The sequence below is a fragment of the Homo sapiens genome, chromosome 16 (genome assembly GCF_000001405.40).
Source record: "Homo sapiens chromosome 16, GRCh38.p14 Primary Assembly".
In the NCBI taxonomy this organism is placed as follows: Eukaryota; Metazoa; Chordata; class Mammalia; order Primates; family Hominidae; genus Homo; species Homo sapiens.
Window position 1 is genome coordinate 14,071,942 of NC_000016.10, and position 14,862 is coordinate 14,086,803.

The window sequence follows — 14,862 nt, forward strand, 5'->3', positions numbered from 1 at the left end:
CTTTTGTCTCGTTCCTAAAAGGGTCCCCGATCCCCAAGTGGTCAAGAACCATTGTTTGGCCCTGCTTGGAAGCAGAGGTGGGCTGAGAGCAGCGGGCGTGTGCTGGTAGTGGGGTGTCAGGCCCAATGAAGTGGAATATTGGAGCCCAGGGCTTGCCTTAGGCAAAGGAAACTCTTCTCTAAAAGTTCGATTTTTGTTTCAGCACGCGATTCCACTCTTGGGAACAGTGGTTCTCAACCTCGTCAGAATCAAGGTCCCTTCTTCCCCTTTGCAGCAAACATGTATAAAGCCCTCTTTACTACCCTGAAATGAAATTCATAAACAATGTGACCTCCCTACACACATCCTTGAAAAGCAGTATGATGGTTTGATTGAAGCGTAAGGGCGAAATAGAGAACAGTATATGACAGATGTTGCTGTACCATTCACATCTAGGACATACTCTTGTGCTGGAAGACAGTATATACTGGGGTGCTTGTGCCAGCTTCTAATGAGTACATTTGTATTGGTTAAAAAAAATTAGGAGGAGCTATTTCAAACAAGAGCAAGCCTGGGCAATATAGCGAGATCCCACCTGTACAAAAAAAGAAAAAATTAGCGTGGTGTGGTGGCGCACACCTGTAGTCTCAGCTGCTTGGGAGGCTGAGGTGAGGGGATCTCTTGAGCCCAGGAGTTAAAGGCTGCAGTGAGCTGTGATTGCACCACTGCCCTCCAGCCTGGGCTACAGAGTGAGGCCGCTACTTCAGGGAAAGAGCAGAGATACAGACGGAGGTTGGGAAAAACACCTAGGTTGGCATAACCTGTTTCTTGCGAATTAAAGAGAGAAACAACCTAGATTGAACTAGGGATAACATGGCAAGACAAATAACAGACTGTCTCAATAAATACGTAAATATTAGCACAAGCCCTCCATGGATCCATATTTTTAAACTATATTGTAGAATTTTTTGTGTCACACACTCGAAGGGACAATACTGGCTTCCTAACAATTACCATTGGTAATAATTAATAAAATATTAACAAGGTTGAAAATTTTTGGTTCAATATCAGTATCTCACTTGTTTGTATATGCTCAGTATTCTGATACTACAATTGTATGTTAACGGTGTGTGGTGTGAGGAAACGATCGCTAATGTTTAGACAGTTTTCCCTTACTCTATTTAAGCTTCCCTTGCTACTTTCTCCTACATTACTGGAGTTTCCCTGCAATTTCTTATAAAAACTTTTAAATATTGTAAAGTAATGCCAGTTTATAGTGGGCTTAATCTGCCCGTTCATTTGAAAGACTCTCGTACCAGGCGAATCTTCATTATACAGATCTGTCCCACCTATGTGTTGTGTGAAGTCTTTTAGATCCAGGCCCCCCAAACCCTAAATGCCAGCGGTGTCCCCCAGTCTCTTTGATAACTAAAAATGTTCCTTGGGGGCAGTTCCAGCTCCTTGGAGAACCACTCCAAACATCAGTGTTATCTAGTCAATTATAATAGGAATTATAAAAGGAAATTTAACAGACAGTTTTTGCTGAGAGTTTTGTCCTGTTTTGTTTTTTCTTTCTTTCAGAAGTGTCTGACGTACAAAAAGCATGCTTTTGGTTAGTGGCGCTTTCATTGATTATTCTAGAATCTCAGATGGGAGGTCAGGTTAGTACCTGTGTCCCTCTGTCTGAAAGATTGGCTGTGTTTAATGGAAATGTTGACAACTAAACACTTGAATCAAGTAGCAGATTGAGGTTAGAATGGAGTTGGGAAGCAACAACAATAATGTGTAGAAATAAGTCTTAGTTAAGTATAATCTAAACTAGTGTAATCACCCTTTAAATAGCTTCTTCTGCTTACTAATATCTATATTAGAGAATTTGGAAAATGCAGATGTATTCAAAGGTAAAACTTAAAATTACCTGTAATCACATATGCCAGTAGTCCTCATGGTGTGATTTGTTAGCAGTTGTCTTTTCATTTCAAACTTTGCTAGTCTTGCTGCATAGGGGAAAATGCAAATCGAGTTAAGAAAGTTCAGCTCAGACCATTTATATGTTACCTACGTATAACATTTATATATGTTACAATGTTACCTACATTGTAACATTATACATTTAACTCTTCTTTTAATAATAGTTTATTTGGCTTTTTTTTGTTGAATAGACGAGTTGCTTCTTGATGTAAGGTGTTTATTATTAGTTGCGTGTTACGTTTGAAAGGTGCTATGGAAACAGACATGTAGGTAATGACTGCTGTCAAAACAGAAGGCTATACTTTAAATTATCTAGAGTTAGAGACATTGAACACTTTGGAGATGGAAATTTATCCAAATTGAGAGTAATGAATTTATATTAATTTGAGCAAGCAGTATCTTGTTCCAGGGTAAAAGAGGTCATTACTGGTTTTTAAAATCAGAACTTTAAAAAATATTCACCTGTATGTAAAAGATGTTGATTGAAAATGTTCCATTTTTCTAGGCATAGGGGATAGATTGTTGAATGGACAAAAGTTCATGCTTTTATGAAGTTTTACATTTGAGAGACACAAATGTTAACTAGAAAATGAATACTATGCACATATCTCTGATTTGTAATTAAGGTGTTTCATTGATTTTTAAGATGCATATGTGAGATAGAATGACATCTTAAAATTAGCATGTGGTTGGCAACTTTTCTTTCTTAGTAGGACATTATATCTTGAAATTGATGGCATCTTAGAGTCAATGAAATAGGGAATATGTAAAAATTATTACATAATTTTACTACATGAATAGGGAATATGAAACAATGATTAATGATTAACACCAAAAACTTGATTCAAAGGGTGACTTGCAAAATGAAGATACACAATATTTCTGGACCCTTCCATTTAAACTAGAATTCTTTACTAAGAAGATTCCTGTAGAGATTTTCCCTTTATGTAAAACAAATGGAGAATCAATGTTTGTAAATATAAGAACCATTTTTTTGAAAATGTTTAAAAGGAAACAAACTGCTTGGTGAATTTTCACGAAGAGCAGATGGTGTGGTTAGTGTGTTTGAGGTAAAGTTAATCAGATAATATAACCAGACAGTTGTATGAATATGGTTTTTTGTGTTTTTTGTTTGTTTCCATTCTGGAAGATCCACTTATAAATGAAAGTTTTCTCAAATGGGACGTCCTTAAATTGGATCTCAGTGAATTATAGTTGTTATTGTTGTTTAAGAAATATATTTGAAAACATACTTACTCTGTGTGAAGTACACAGTTTATATGGGAAGCTAGTTCCGTGGTATACCTTAGCTGGAGACCTGTGTAAGGACTTTTTCTGTCTAATATTGAGTGCAGGTTTCACAGCAAACTCAATCACGTGAAGACCCTTTGCGTACCTTCTTCCTCAGGTGGACTTGTGCTTTGCGTCTTAAAGTGTGGTGCCCACACCATCAGCACGTCAGCAGCATCCTGGAGCTTGTTTGAAATGTAGACTCTGAGCTCCACTCCAGACCAACTGGACCAGAATTTGCATTTTAAAAGATCCCTTCCTGGGCAATGCACGTGAACATATAAAAATCACGGGACCAGATCTGTGGCTGTCAAACTTGAGTATGTATTAAAAGGATTGCTAGCCTCCTCCTCCAGGGTCTCTCTCTGATTCAGTAGGTCTGGGCTGGGCCCATAGAATTTACATTGTTAACAAATTATCAGGTGATGCTGATGCTGCTGGTCCAAGGACCATACTTTGAGAACCATTAGAGTAGAGCTCCTTCTCTTCTCACCTTTTTCTGTTCTCTCTTCTAATTCCTCACCCCGGCTTTTTAAAATAGATTATTATAATCATATACTTTGGCTCGATTGGAGGAAACAAAAGCACTTTGTCTTATAATTTATGGTGATGGCCACACTAAAATTGCTTGTCACCAATTTCAGAGAAAACTTAGACTCTGGTTTGTAGGTGGTTCTCTTTTGCTTCTTTTTGCGAGGTGCTTTTAACATTTACAAATTGTTTTCATGTAGATAAGATGTTCATATGGTTCAAAAATTAAAATGACATAAGACATATTTTGAGAAATCTAAATTCCAATTGTCTTGATTCTCTCCATAAATAACCTTTCATTTGTTTCCTATACATGTCTTTTTTTTGTATAGATGCAGATACAAGCAAATACTAATATACTATATATACTCTTTTTATATAAAATATACATACTATGTGAATATTTTCCTTGCTTTTTTTTTAAAGTTAATATTATCTTGACATACCTTCATATTAGTATATAGGAAACATTTTTCTACACTTCTTTTCTTTTTTTTGAGACAGAATCTCACTCTGTCACCCAGGCTGGAGTGCAGTGGCACCATCTCAGCTCACTGTAACCTCCATCTCTCAGGTTCAAGCGATTCTCCTGCCTCAGCCTCCCAAGTAGCTTGGGACTACAGGTGCATGTGCCACCAGGCCCGGATAATTTTTGTATTTTTAGTAGAGATGGCGTTTCTCCATGTTAGCCAGGCTGGTCTCAAACTCCTGACCTCAGGTTATCCACCTGCATCGGCCTCCCAAAGGGCTGGGATTACAGGCATGAGCTACTGCACCTGGCCCAGAAAACATTTTTCTAAACAACTGTAAAATATACATTGTTTAGCTGTTTAGCCTCCAGTGATCAATATATGAGTTGTTTCCAGTCTGAGACTCACAAATGACGCTGTGCTGAATAACCTTGTGCACATATTATTTTGTATATTTGTAGGCATTATCTGTGGGATACATTCCTAGAGGTGGGATTGCTGGTCAGTGGGCAATGCATTTATAATTGGTGTAAATACTTTCTTCCTCCAGAGTGGCACTTATTTTGAACTTGCCTAAGTAATGTATGAGACTCCTTATTTCTCCGTAACCTCTCCAACAGTTAACCTTTGGATTCGTGTCAGTCTCGTAGATGAAAAATGATAACTCCATGTAGTTTTAATATGCATTGCTTTCATTATGAATCGGGGTGAGCATCTTTTCATGTGCCTAAAGGCTATTTGTATTCCTTTTTCTGTGAGCTATCTGTTCATACCCTTTGCACATTTTTCTTTTGGATTGCTTTTTCTTACTAATTTCTATAAGTGTATAAATTAGAGAGATTAGCCCTTTGTTAGGTTGCAGTTTCCCTCAACTTGTCACTTGTTTTTAAAAATGACTTTCATGTATTTTGGTATAAAGAAGGCTTAAATATGGCTTTCTTTACATTTTATGTACTTAACATTAATCTCTTATGGTATCTGGATTTTACGTCAAAGGCCTCCACGATTTCTGGAATCTGCCCGTGTTTTCTTTTAGTGCTTTTATGGTTTCATTTTAACACCTAAATCTCTGATCCACTTAGGATTTATTCTGGTGTTCAGAGTGATATATAATTCAACTTTTCCTTTTTCCATGTGGCCACCAGTTATCTTTACCGATTTGTTTCAGTTTTCATCTCTGAATCCAGTTGATGGTGGTGTGAGTTTCTGGATGTATTGGGGTACATCTCTGCACTTTCTATTCTATGACATTAGTCTTTCTATTCATATAGCAGTACTACATTGGTTTTATAAAATGTTTTAATATCTTTTAAAACTAGTTTCCCCTTGTTGCTTTTTTTTTTTTTGGCAATTCTTGCTAGTTTATTTTTCCATGTGAACTTTAGAATCGTTTTGTCTAGTTCCAGAAAACACTTTTTAAAGAATCAAGATCATGTTAAGTTTATGAACTTAAAATCTATTTGACTTCTCTGAGCCTCAGTTTTCTAATCTGTAAAAGGAGCAATAGTGCCTGTAAGAATGCTGGAGGGATTAAAAGAGAAAACGTGTGAAACTCATCGCTTAGTGCCCTTGGTCCACTCCCACCTTTGTTGCCAACATGGGCTGAGGTTGCCATTCCCTCATTTTTTTCCCACTGTTACCCATCTCACTTTCAAAAAAGAAAAAAAGAAAGGACCCATAAAGAAAAAGTTACAAGACATTAGAATCCAAGTTAAAACTAAGCTCTTGTTCAGTTTCAGCAGGACAATTAATGTACCTGAAAACCAGAGAACAAATTCAGCCTGGCGTTCAAGGCCCCCTCCTGCTTCTAGCCTTGCTGCCTTAGTCTCTCTTGGATGTACCCTAACAATGGTGCTGCTTATGTTTCCTAGAGGCCCTGTGTTTCCTGGAACCCCATTCCTCCCACCCAGAATATAGTGCTACGTAATTCTGCCAGTTCAGATCTGTTACTGTCCCCCACCCAGTCAAAAACAGTATCTGTCTCTGCATGTAGCTTGTCTGTCATGCAGCTTAACCCTTGATGAACTGTAAACTCTGTAAGGAGAGAAACTGTGTTCATCCTGCACACCAAATAATGCCCTGCACCCAACAAAATACTGGCAAAGATTGGACATTCAGATGTTTGTTAAATGAATGAATAATTGACTTTGATCTTTTTTTTTGCTTTATATTATGTGTCTAGGTAGCTCTTATTTCACTGAGGACACTGTAAGCCCCTGGAATACAAAGCTTATGCCCACCCCTCTCCCCCTTTTTTAGAGACGGGGTCTCTCTCATGCAGGCTGGAGTACATGACACGGGCAGTGGCACAGTTATGGCTTACTGCAGCCTTGAACTCCTAGGCTCAATCAATCATCCTACCTCAGCCTCCCGAGCAGCTGGGACTACAGGGGCACCACCACTCCTGGCAAATTTTTTTTTTTTTTTTTAAAGAGACGGTATTACCATGTTGCCTCAGTCTGGTCTCAAACTTCAGGGCTCAAGCGATTTGCCCACCTTGGCCTCACCAAGCCCGGGAATTACTGGTGTAAGCCACTGTGCCCAGCCAATTAATAATAATTATTATCATCATAAATAATGCTGGTGATGGAGATGGTGAAAGGCAGATTTATTATTATATAATAACATTATAATAAAATAGTATTTATTGAACACATATTTCAGGAACTACTTTAGAGTCCCCAATGTGGATTATTTCATATAATCCTCAGCAGTGCTAAGAATTGGGTACTGTTGTTACACATATGGGAAAACAGGCACACAGAGAAGTTACTTACCCCAGATCACACAGGTAGAAAGTGGTAGAACCGGGATCTAATGCAGATGCTCTGAGCCTAGCACCCGAACTCTTAGCCCGCTGCAGTTCTCCAGGCTTGTTTGTTAAATACAGTTCTTTGAATACAGTCGTGTATAGGTTCTCGAACAATTTAGGAAAAGTTTTAGTTACATTTTCAAATTTTTACTTTCCTTCCTGACCATTCCATTTTAATAACTTCGATTTTGTTATTTCCAGTTTATCTTAGACTTCACATTCTCCAAGAGACACAACCTTGTCTGGCATGTAGTAGGTGCTCAATAAAAAGTAATTTCTGCCTTTTTTTTTCCAGGTTCACAATAAAGGTGCTAAGAAAGAGAATGTAAGACAGGAAAATAATTAAATATTCTTACCGAGGTAAGTTTTTTTATAATTTTTTTTTAACAAAGAAACTGTAATTTCTTTCTTTCTTTTACCTCCTCTTACAGCCTGCTTTCTTGAGGTCTAACAGGGAGATTGTTTTAGGAGTGGTTAAGTTCATAGAACCTAGAGTTCTTAAGGTAGATGCCAGGAATGTGGACTGTTCAAGTAAGTTCATTTGACGTTCTCAACCTCTTCGAATCTAATCTTTATTTTCCTGTTTTCTGATGGTTTTAAAGCATGGTACTGAGAAGGAAATCTAGCAAGTAGAAACCCATAGCTGTTTGGTGGTTATATATACTTGCAACATTCAGTGAATACTTTTTTCTTAAAATAGGGAGTTGAAAGAATTTTAAGCTACTTTTGGTGAGATACGAACACTTAAAATTTTGGGTTTTTTTTTACTATAATAATGAAAAAAATTTCTATCCGTATAAAACAACATAATGATAGAACTTAGCATCCAACTTCTACCACCAAGAAATGACTGCTATTAATATTTTGGTGAACATACTTTTAGAAATCTATCTATGGATATAGAAGAATTTATATACAAAATTTTAAATAAATTGGTTTGCCTGTATATAGTAGTCTTTTTTAATGGAAAAATATGTTTTGTACATCTCTGCGGGAATTGGAAAGATACGCGTAATCCTACATGATCATTTTACTGGCTGCCTAATGTTCCATCTTTTAGAGGCACCATACTTTATGCCTTTGATGACCTTTTAGATTGTTCTAGTTTTCCCTTGTTGATGTATTGATCAGCCTTCTGCTTATATCATTGTATACTTGTTCATTTCTCTTCTTAGATGTGTAACTGCTGGGTCAGAGATTATACACATTTAAAATGTTGAGACATGGCTTACCTGTCCTCTAAAGAGACTACCAGTTTATAACCCCCCTCAGAATCCACAAGAGTCCTGCTTTCCATATCCTTGCCCACACAATTTTGTTAATGTTAATGTATATGTAACTTTTTTCCAAATTTATTTATTTATTTTAAATAGACAAATAAAATTGTATGTATGTATTGTGTACCACATGTTTTGAAGTATGTGTATATTGTGGAATGTTTCAATCTAGCTAATTATGCGTTACCTCACATAGTTACCATTTTTGTGGTGAGAACATTGAACATTTACTCTCTTTGTATTTACTCTATTTTTGGAAGAATACAGTATATCATAATTAACAATAGTCACCATGCTGTACAATAGATCTCTTTGAATTATTCCTTCTATATCTAACTGGAATTTTGTATTCTTTGACTAACATTTCCACACCACCACCCCCACCTGCCCCCGACCTTCTAACGCCTCTGGTAACCATCATTCTACTCTCTTCTTGTATGAGATCAACTTCTTCAGATTCCTTATATGAGTAAGAACATGTAGTATTTGTCTTTCTGTGTCAGGCTTATTTCACTTAAAGAGGTGATGTTCTCCAGGTTCATCCATGTTGTCACAAATGACAGGATTTCCGTTTTTATAGTTGAATAGTACTCCGTTGTGTATATATACCACATTTTCGTTATCCATTCATCTGTTGATGGACACTTAGGTTGCTTCTGTATCTTGGCTATTGTGAATAGTGCTGCAATAAATGTGAGAGTGCAGATTATCTCTTTACTGATTTCATTTCCTTTGCATAAATACCCAGTAGTGGGATTGCTGGATCATATGGTAGTTTCATTTTTAATTTATTTCAGAAACCCCCACACTGTTTTCCATAATGGCAATAATTTACATTCCTCCCAATGGTGTTCAAGGGTTTCTTTGTCTCTACATTTTTGCCAGCATTTGTTACCTTTTATCTTTTTGATAGTAGCCATTCCAACAGGAGTGAGGTGATATCTCACTGTGGTTTTAACTTGCATTTATTAGTGCTGTGTAACACTGTTTTATGTATTTGCTGGCTATTCGTATGCTGCCTTTTTTTTTTTTTTTTTTGAGACAGAGTTTCACTTTTGTTATGCAGGCTGGAATGCAATGCTGTGATCTTGGCTCACTGCAACCTCCGCCTCCCGGATTCAAGCGATTCTCCTGCCTCAGCCTCGCAAGTAGCTGGGATTACAGGCATCCGCCATCATGCCCGGCTAATTTTTGTATTTTTAGTAGAGACGGGGTTTCACCGTGTTGGCCAGGCTCGTCTTGAACTCCTGACCTCCGATGATCCACCCGCCTCGGCCTCCCAAAGTGCTGGGATTCAGGCATGAGCCACTGCACCCGGCCATTTGTATGCTTCTTTTGAGAAATGTCTACCAGGCTAGAGTGCAGTGGTGCAATCACGGCTCACTGCAGCCTTGACCTTCTAGGCTCAAGTGATCCTCCCACTTCAGCCTCCCTAGTAGCTGGGACCACAGGCACATGCCACCACACTCTGCCAAATTTTTTGTATTTTTTGTGTAGACAGTGTCTCGCCATGTTGCCCAGGCTGGTCTCAGACTCTGGGCTCAAGCAGTCCACCCGCCTCGGCTTCCCAAAGTGCTGGGATTATAGGTGTGAGCCACCACCTTTGTCCATTTTTTAATTGGATTTTTTTCCTGCTATTGAGTTGAGTTTCTTACATATTTTGGATGTTAACCCCTTACCAGATGTATAGTTTGCAGATATTTTCTCCCATTCTTTAGGAAGTTTCTTCACTGTGGATTGCTTTCTTTGCTATACAGAAGCTTATTAATTTGGCATAATCCCATTTGTCAGTTTGTGCTTTTATTGCCTGTGTTTTGGGGTTCATATCTAAAAATCATTGTCCAGACCAATGTCATGGAACTTTTCCTCTATGTTTTCTCCTAGGAGCTTAATGTTTTCACATCTTACGTTTAAGTCTTTAATACATTTTGAGTTGATTTTTGTATATGGCGTGAGATAAAGGTCTGATTTCATTCTCCTGCATGTGGGTATCCAGTTTTGCCAACACCATTTAGAAGAGACTGTCCTTTCCCCATTGTTTATTCTTGGCACCTTTGTCAAAAATCAGTTGACTGTAAGTGCATAGATTTATTTCTGGGTTCTTTATTCTATTCCATTCGTCTATGTGTCTGTATTTTAAGCTAGTACCATGCTGTTTGGTTACTATAACTTCATAGTACAATTTGAAACCAGGTAGTGTGATATCTCCAACTTTTTTATTTTATTCAAGATTGTGTCTGGGTGCCGTGGCTCAAATCCCAGCACTTTGGGAGGCCAAGGTGGGAGGATAGTTTGAAAACCAGAAGTTCGAGACCAGCTGGGTGACAAAGTGAGACCCTGTTTCTGCAAAAAATAAAAATTAGCCAGGTGTGGTCATTTGTACCTGTAGTTCCAGTTACTCAGGAGGCTAAGGTGGAAGGATTGCTTGAGCCAGGAGTTCGAGGTTGCAGTGAGCTGTGTGATCGTACCACAGCACTCCAGCCTGGGCAAAGGAACAAGACTGTCTTAATAAAATAATAATATATAAATAAAATAAAGTAAATAAAATGACAAGATTGCTTTGGCTGTTCATATCCTTTGGTAGTTCCATACAAACTTCAGGATTTTTTTTCTATTTCTGTGAAGAATGTTATTGGTATTTTGATAAGGATTGCATTTAATAAGTAGTACACTTTGGGTAGTATGGTCATTTTAAAAGCATTCTTTTGATCCGTGAGCATGGGATATCTTTCCATTTATTTGTGTCTTCAATTTCTTTCACTGATGTTTTATAGTTTTCAGTGTAGAAATCTTTTACCTCCTTGGTTCAATTTATTTCTAAGTATTTTATTTTTTTGGTAACTGTTGTAAATAGGATTGTTTTCTTGATTTTTTTTTCAGATAGTTCGTTGTTAGTATATAGAAGTATTACTGATTTTTCTATTTTGATTTTATATCCTGCAACTTTATTGAATTCATTTATTGGTTCCAACAGTTTTTTTTGGTGGAATCTTTAGGGTTGTCTATATATAAGGTCATGCCATCTGCAAACAGGAACAATTTTACTTCTTCCTTTCCTAATTGGATGCCTGACTCCTGAAGCCACTGAGGGTATGAGAAGCCCAAGCCTGCTGTAGTTGGCTGGCAGTGATGTGGACTGGAAATGGAGTCTGCCTCATAGGGGATACAGGCTTCCACCTGGCTCCAGGACAGGTCTGAAGGCACAGTCCCTGGGTACTGGCCTAGAGTCAGGGGCCATGGAGGTCTTCTGGGTACTGGGTTTTACTGTGTTGGGCCTGGTGTTAGGGTTCAAGGCAAAGTCCTATGCTTACTTCCCTCTGTTTCCCCCATCTGATGGTATCTCTCTCCACGCTGTGCTGCCTAGGGTTGGGGAGTGGGTGACGCGGGTAATGTAAAACTATCCTTTCTACCACCTTCAGCGTGTCTTTTAAAATTTTTGTGCTATAACCAGGTACCGTAATCTGTCGTCTGTTTTTCTTAGCTCTTGTGAAGGTGTTTTTAGGAATGGATAGTTGTTCGAATTGATGTTTCTGCCCTGGGACGAGTACTGGAGAGTCTTGTTCCGCCATCTTGTACCACCTTCTTTTGTATGTAACCTGTTAATCTTTTTAATCTTTGGCAATCCAGTAGGAGACAAAAAATAGTATTTTTTTGAGATAACAAGGTTTCTAATTGGAATATACCTTTTAGGTTTTCAAAGACCTCCAATTTGATATTCTTACTAACGTGAAGAGTTTTCTTATTGAGAAGATACCTGTGGTTCTCATGCATAGATGAAATACTCTTGGACTTTAAATGTGATGAGAGTGTTGAAGTATGTTGAGTTCTTTGTTTTTCAGTCTATTGCCTTCGTTAACTCATTATAAATATTTTTAAACTATAGGTCAACTGACTGTTACTATTTCAAATACTGAAAGTTTTCCTCCATAGAGAACTCTCCCTTTGTTTTTTATTCACTTATAGTGCAGTTTCAAGAAGCTTTAAGACTAGGCACGGTATCTCACAACTGTGATCCCAGCACTTTGGGAGGCTGAGGCAGGTAAACTGCTTGAGCTCAGGAGTTCAAGACTGGCCTGCACAATAACATAGTGAAATCCCATCTCTGCAAAACATGCAAAATTAGCTGGGCATGGTGGCTCACACCTGTAGTCCCAGGTGTTCAGGAGGCTGAGGCAGGAGGATCACTTGAGGCTAGGACGTGGAGGTCTCAGTGAGCCAAGATCATGCCACTGCACTCCAGCCGGGGTGACAGAGTGAGACTCTGTCTTGAAAAAAATTAAAAAGATAAATAAAGAAGCTTTAGAGACCAATTTCTTAACATGCCTCAAACGTAGATATCAATTGTGGAATAGCATATAGAATATGACTTACAAACTTGGGTGATGATATTATTGAGTTATGTGGATTATGTGACTGTGCATTCATATGTAAACCTATGTTTACTGATGTTGAATCTCTTCTGTCTAAAGGATTTTAACAGTTTCTGATATGAGTGTGATCTTTAATTTTATATTTGCCTTAGATTTTATTTTAATCAAATAAGATTTACTTGAGGAAGGTTTCATATGAAGCATATACCAACTTTGTCATTGACCTATGGTTTGTTCTTTAACTTAATAAAAAGCCAATTAACTATCAGGAGCTATTTCAAACAAGAAAATCAGAGAGCCAGCGTAGGCAATATAGTGAGACCCTGTCTCTACAAAAAATATTTAAAATTAAAATAAGAAAAAATTAGCAAGGCATGGTTATAATCCCAGCTACTCAGGAGAGTGAGGTGAGATGATTATTTGAGCCTGGAGTTGGAGACCAGCCTTGACAATATAGCAAGATCTCATCTCTTAAAGAAAAAAAAGCCAATTAAAAGTCACCTTTTTTCTTCAGATAGAAAATACATCTTCTGGCCAGGTGTGGTGGCCCACGCCTGTAATCCCAGCACTTTGGGTGGCTGAGATGAGTGGATCACCAGAAGTCGGGAGTTTGAGACCAGCCTGGCCAACATGGTGGAACCCTGTCTCTACTAAAAATACAAAAAATTAGCCAGGTGTGGTGGCGGGCGCCTGTAATCCCAGCTACTTGGGAGGCTGAGGCAGGAGAATCACTTGAATCCGGGAGGTGGAGGTTGCAGTGAGCCGAGATCGCACCACTGCACTCCAGCCTGGGCAATAAGAGTGAAATTCCATCTCAAAAAAAAAAAAAAAAAAGCGAAAAGGAAAATACAGCATTTAATAATATAGAATGCCTTTAATACTTTAATATTGATGCTTTTCTTTTCACTCCAAGTTAACATTGTTGACCATATACCACCAAGACCAGGGACCAAGTAGTACAACTGGTATTTTATTCACTGGTTTACATCCAGCACCTAATATAATACCTGGCATGCACATGGCAAACACCCACATTGTGTTTGAAGGAATGAATGGTTGGTAAATATTGTCATTGTTAGAATTAGGTTGGAAATGAGAAGGGCCTTAAATTTTAATTTGGATAAGAAAACTAGCATCTGTGATTTTTATACGTACCTAAATCTAAACATAGACAATTATAGTGATACTTGCTACCATAACATTGTGTGACATTTTGTTTGAAATGTTGAATTGGCCTGTATCCCATTTATTTTCCAACTCTGCTTTTTTGTTTGTGTGTTTTTGTTGTTGTCAAGGGAAAAGTAAGTATCTAAACTAGGTAGGAAACTAGATCTTGTTAAATAATCATATTTATGTTTCATAGTATAGACATGGGAAAGTTTTTCATAGTTATGTTATTTGAAGACAAAGCTAAAATGGATGTCCCAAAATATATTTTTAATTATAATGGAGATAAATTGAGCTATATTTTAAGTGTGGCTCCGCATTTCATTAAAAATAGAAGCAGAGAAATTGATTGCCAGCCTTTGAGAAGAATGTATAATAAATCTTTGTCCAGTATCCTGTCTTTTAAGCCTTTCTGACTCCTAACCAATTTTTCACAGCCAAACTAAACAAAGAAGATAGAATAATTAATAGATTCAAGTAGTGTTTTTGCCTCTCTTTCCATATACTTTGTTTCTGTTGGAATATGGGATTCCAAAGAGTTCATGAGCTAGTTTTAATCAGTATTTGAGCAGCAGTTATTTGCATGTATAACGTCTTAAATTGATTAAATAATCCCCTAGCAATTTTTATTTGCACTTTAGTTTGCTTAGCATCCCCTTTCTTAATAAATAATCCAAAATTAAATGTAGGCAGACTTGAAATAATTGAGTCTTCAATAGTAGAGTCTAAATTAATGAAGTTTTTTTAGACTTTAAAACTCTCATATCTTTTTGTGGCTGATGGTATAATCTTGTATTTGTTTTCTAAAATAACCAAATTTCTGGTTTCTTCAATCTCTTTTATGTGGCAATGCAGGAATTTGCTTATACGGTAGTTTTCATTTTACTGATGACTTAATTTATTTAATTGCATGCTTTAAAGCCCTGATTCTAAAAATACTCCTGGAAAGCAAGGAATTACTAGCAGTAGTTAAACAGAAGTCTTAATTAAAATTA

The 14,862-nt window shown here is 37.5% G+C and overlaps 1 protein-coding gene across 29 annotated transcripts in view; it reads left to right on the top strand.

The window, feature by feature from the left end:
* MRTFB (myocardin related transcription factor B) overlaps positions 1-14,862 on the top strand; it is a 272,006-nt gene that overhangs the window by 77,168 nt on the left and 179,976 nt on the right. For 20 of the 29 annotated variants that reach the window (XM_047434393.1, XM_047434392.1, XM_017023501.3 and 17 more), the window contains exon 2: positions 7,349-7,413. The gene's annotated coding sequence lies outside the window, so the exon portion shown is untranslated. Of the gene's footprint in view, positions 1-1,565; positions 1,641-3,358; positions 3,561-7,348; positions 7,414-14,862 lie in introns of those variants that run through there. The other 9 variants (XM_047434391.1, XM_047434390.1, XM_047434399.1 and 6 more) reach the window with 4 other exon arrangements.